The following is a 6000-nucleotide window of genomic DNA, read 5'->3' on the forward strand; positions in this document are numbered from 1 at the left end:
TGATGGTTAATTTTATGTGTCAAGTTGGAGAGTGTTTGGGGTTGAGATTAACATTTAAAACAATAAAATCTCAGCAAAGTAGATTGCCCTCCATAATGTGAATGGGCCTCATCCAATCAGTTGAAGTCTTGAAAATAACACAAAGGCTGGACTCCTCAAGCATGAGAAAAAGTCTTCAGCGGACTTTCTTTGGACTTGGCTCCATCAGCTCTCCTGGGTCTCAAGGCTGCAAGCCCACACTGTAAATTTTGAAGTTTCCATCTTCCATAATCACATGAGTTACTTCTATATAATAAACCTGTTTAATCTACATAAATAATACTTTGTAATACATTTGTTAAGTATATATATTCTGATTCTCTGAAGAGCCCTGACATACCATTCTATTTCCTTCTGTCTCCCAGTGATTCTGATGAGAAGATTAGCTGTTATTCTTATTGGGGTTTATTTGTATATGACAAGTTGTTTTTTTCTTGCTGCTTTCAAGGTTTTTGTCTTTATTTTTCAACATTTTTATGATGTGTCTGTGTTTGCATTTCTTTGAGCTTGTCCCATGTCTTGTATATTTAGATTAATATTTTTCACCAAATTTGAGAAATAAGTGGCCATTTTGTATCCAAATAATCTTTCTGACACTTTATGAGCCTCTCAATATGCTAATGTTGGTATGCTTGATGATATGTACAGATCTCTAATGCTGTTCATTTTCTTGAATTTTTTTTTTCTGAGACTGGATAATCTCAACTGGCTTGTCTTCATTTTCACAAATTCCTTCCTCAGCTAGTTCAAAACTGCTTTTAAACTCCTCTAGTGAATTTGTAAATTTCATTTGCTGTACTTCTCACCTTCACATTTGTTTGGTTATATTTATATTTTCTATCTTTTTATTTATACTCATTTTTTGGTAAACAATCATTCTCATATATTCCTTTAATTTTTTAGATGTTTTTTTAACATTCTTTGAATGTATTTATAAATAGCTAATTCATAGTATTTGTAGTATTTGCCTGTGAAGTCTGACATCTGGTCTTCCTCAGAGGCAGTTTATATTGACTACTTTTTATCACTGTGAATGGATCATAATTTTCTGTTTCTTTGCATGTATAACAATAGTTTGCTCAAGATTTGACATTTAAAATAATATGATATAACAACAGTGGAAATTAGATTCCCCTGCCAGCCTCCTCAAAGTCTCTTGTTGCTATTTCTTTCTTTGTTTTTATTTTTGTTGTCATTGCTACTGCTGTGTATTTGATTTGACCTTCCCGGTCTAATTTTGTAAGTTGTGTTTTTTTTTTTATGTGTAGTCACTTAAGTCAATGTTTGATTAGCTCCATAGACAGCTAATGATTGGACAGAGATTTCCTTAAATGGCTTGAACTCATATGTATCAGAACCTAGGGGCTCTGTGGATTTGAGATATATTTTCTTCATTCCAGTAGACAGTTTTCAACTCTGCCTTAGACTTAACTTATTATTTCTCCAGAGCCTCAGAGTCAGCCAGAATTGAAAGATTAGGATATTCTTGGGTCTTTCCTGGGCATGCAAACATAGCTGTGCATACGTGTGGCATTCCCAATTCCCAGAAATAAATTGGAGGTTTATAAAACCCACTATGGACATCTCATTTCTTACTTCCTTTTTTTCAGTTTTTTGGTCAGCCTCTTGTTAGGTATAATTGATAATAACAGCTTAGGAAGCTAAAATATGAAAGAATTTTCTCAATTTCTAATAAGCACTCTGGTAATAAGGCTGTTTACATAGAGCAAGTTTTGATTCACGTCAAATAAAGATAAGCCCTAAGAGTGAAGCTTTTTAGCAAGCTAACAAGCAAACCAAATAGTGTTGATTCTCTGGTGATCTGATATTTGTGGAAGGCCAGACCCTTTTTGCCTCTTCCAGTGGCTCCTAGGCTCCAGATTTTGACAGCTAATGCACTTATTGGACTGTAGGTATTCAAGTCTGCAAGGGAGCTAGCAGAGGGGAATGAGATTAAGTCAAATCAAAGTGCTATAGAGCCTGCTCTTGTTACTTAGATTCAGCCATTTATCTTACATAAATATTCTTCATATTGTTGGATCCTTTGATTTCCAGAATTCTGAAAACGTTTTTGACTTTCTTTACAGTGTTATTGTTGCTTTTATTAAAAGCTGATTTTTAAGAGACTTTATTCTAGTATTCTGGAAGTGTTTCCCCCTATCAATGTTTATTTCCTCAGATATTTATTCAAGGAATATAGTTATTCATTGGGTCCTTCATTTTCCTTACGTGATGTCTATCAACCTTTTTATTGACATTACTGCTGTTTGAAAGATAATTGTCATGAATATTATAACTTATCTACACCCATATGCAAACTTATTTCCTAAAGTGCCAATTTTATTTTAACTTTCTTACTACAAGTATACAATTGCTTCCACTTACTTCAGGATAAAAAAAAAAGAAATTAATCTTGGAATTAAACACTCTCATAATATGACTTCACTTATCTTCCAAGCATTTGCTACTAACACTCCAAGACACTGAATATAAATTAAAAGATGAACTTATCTTCTGACTTTGAAATTAGTAAAAGCAACATCATTAATTGGGATTATCTATGTTTTGTCAGTTGTGACATATTAAATAACACACCAAGTCTGAATTCACCAAGTGGGCATTCAAACCTTGGGCAAATATTTTGCCTTCTTGGGTCCTATTTTCTGAGTTTCAGTGTAGGTAGTAGCACTGCTGTGAGAACCAAGAATCAAATAAGTTAGATAGAAAACACAACTCAAATGTCAGTTGGTGCTATTTGCTAAATATTATATGTTCTAGAAAAGATTTATAAGCAAAAATTTGATGAAAACTCATTATCTTCCAAATCAAATAAGACAGCGCTTATTATAGTTTAATGGCAGAATCTCATACTGTGTCCTTAGAGAAGGGTAACTGGAAATAAGTGATGTAAAAAGCTTTCCAACACATACTATTTTTTTCTCCTATGCATTTATACAGCAGAGTGGCATACTGCATTCACCCCTGAAAATGGAGAGTGGATGAGCAAACATTTATCAACATTTATAGAGCCATTTTCCCAGCAAGAATGATACTGTTCCTGTCTGCCAAATCTGAATATTTTAAGCACAATTTTGCTGTAAAGCAGTTTATCAGCTTCTTCATATTTTAAATAAAATATCCCTTTAAAAAACATGATCGCTGTCACCCAATATCTAGGGTTTTCTTCTCTCCTATAGTAGTCAAAATCCTGTTACTTAGATGAACTCATGGCCATGTATAATAAAGGCTAATTTACCTCTTTACCTTCTTTCTCTGAATGTTGTTTACAACATTATATTTTGAAAATTATTTTATTTCCAAAATATTAAAATTCTTGGGCAGGTTTATACATTTCCCAGGAAATAAAAGGTTTTCAGAAAATTGAAAATACCTATTTTGCTGGAACCTCTACAGCTAGTGTATCTTTCTTGAGATCATCAGAGAACAAAAAAATCTAAGTGACAGCCTACTCAACAACTCATGGGTAGTTCAAAGGTGCCTAGGTACCTTACATGCAGGATGTCAAACAAATTGATCATCACTCTCCTTCCTGCAAATTAGTCACTTTCCTATATTCTTTAATCAGTGCATAATACTACCATCTATCAAATTGTAGAAGAAATTATCTATTACTTCACCCCCTTATCCAATTCACTAAAATTTCAGCTTATGTCACCTCCTAAATACCCATTATATCTGTTTACTTTGTTGTATCTTCGCTGATATCAGCTTAGCTTAAGTTAATATTATTCATTTCATAGGTACAGCGCCCTAACTTATGTGGCTGCAGGTATTAATTTCTTCCTTCAATTCATTCTTTTTACCGAAGCTGGTATGGTATTTTCAAAGTGTGAATAATAATATCACAGGCATGCTTAAATCCAATCAGTGCTTTTCCAACTGTGTGGATACACCACCTTGGAAGTGGACTACCAAGGTATATTTGAGCCTCCTCTAGTGATATCATCAGAGATGGGATGCCCCAGTGGAGTCCTGCCCCATTTGAAGATTTGTGAGATAAATAAAATGGTCATCATTTTTAAAGCCAATATATTTCAAAGTATGGTCTGTTGTAGAAAGGAGTAACCCAAATGATGAAAAACTAAAGGACTATGCTATTATAAGGATTGTTAGGAGACAATATCTATTAACTTTTTCTTACAAAATTCAATTGTTCTTATTTACATCTCTGTCCAGAAAACGTACAGGTCTAATTATTTTCTTTATTGAAAAAATAATTATTAATTCAGCAAAGAAGTGTGTTTCCCTACTGTGTATTAAGCACCGTGCTAGGAAATGACAGTTGAAAGATGAATGCGATGTTTTCCAAAGCACTGGTATTCATCATTGTTATTATAAACAGATAAACAGTCTTTGCTGTCTAGGAAAAGGCTTTTTCAAACTCTTTTTTGTACACAATGACAGAATAATTGAAAAGTATAAAAGCAGTCATATATGCAATTTAGTGTGATATAGTCAAAGCCACAGTTGTCATTGTATAAGCTGACTTTCATTATTTTACTTAGGTGGCAGGTTAATTAACTGAATTGGCCAAAAGATTGTATGTAAGTCCTGACAAAGAAATTATTAGCCCAAATTAGTATGTATCAAGACAAAAACTATTTAACAAACCAGTAGATAACATTAGTGACCAGCACAGAAATACAAGTAGAAATTATTAGCATAAGGTATGTTTCACATGTTCAATGTTTATTATATTTTATAGTAGATTTTATGAATGATATAAATGTAAGAATAATTTTTTCAAAAATATCCATTTATTTTTACTATGTGTAATTTTATGAAAAATATGATTTTGATTGGGTGGACATATATATATTTTAGAATTCTGCTTTATTATTAATTTCAACTTTTATTATAGGTTAAAGTGTACATGTGCCAGTTTGCTACATGGGTAAATTGAGTGATTCTGAGGTTTGAGGTCCCAGTGATTTCATCACCCAGGCAGTAAGCATGGTACCCAACAGATGGTTCTTCAGCCCACACCTTCTTCCCTCTCCCATACAGTGGTCCCAGTGACTATTGTTTATATCTTTATGTCCATGAGAACATAAAGTTTAGCTCCTAATTATAAGTGAGAGCATGTGGTATATGGTTTTCTGTTCTTGAGTTCTGTCACTTAGTGTAATGGCCTCTAGCTCCATCCACATTGCTGCAAAGGACATGATTTTATTCTTTTTTATGGCTGCATAGTATTCTATGGTGTAAATGTACCACATTTTCTTTATCCAATCTACTTTTGTTGGGCACCAAGGCTGATTCCATGTCTTTGCTATAGTGAATAGTGCTGTAATGAATATACAGGTGCATATGTCTTTTTGACAAAATAAATTATTTTCCTTTGGGTATATACCCAATAGTAGGATTGCTGGGCCAAATAGTACTTCTATTGTAAGTTCTTTGAGAAGTCTTCAAGATGCTTTCCTCAGAGGCTGAACTAACTTACATTCCCACCAACAGTGTGTAAGTGTTCCCTTTTCTCCATAGCCTTTCCAACATCGGTTGTCTTTTTTGTTTTGTTTTGTTTTGTTTTTTAATAATAGCCATTCTGACTGATGTGAGATAGTAACTCGTTGTGGTTTTGATTTGTATTTCTATGATGATTAGTGATGTTGAGCATTTTTTCATATGCTTGTTGTTTGCTTATATTTATTCTTTTAAGAAGTGTCTGTTCATGTCCTTTGCCCATTTTTTAATTGGGCTTTTGCTTATTGATTTGTTTAAGTTCCTTGTAGATTCTGGATATTAGACTTCTTTCAGATGTGAATATTTTCTCCCATTCATTAGGCTGCTGGTTTACTCTGTTGGTAATTTCTCTTCAATTTTTTGCAAAATATAAACACATTTCTAAAAATGGCTACAGAATGTTAGAAAAAAATAGTTAAAGAGCTTTTTGAAATTAAAAATCAACTTGTAGATAGAATTTAAGAGTAATTTTGA

The sequence above is a fragment of the Homo sapiens genome, chromosome 13 (genome assembly GCF_000001405.40).
Source record: "Homo sapiens chromosome 13, GRCh38.p14 Primary Assembly".
NCBI lineage: Eukaryota > Metazoa > Chordata > Mammalia > Primates > Hominidae > Homo > Homo sapiens.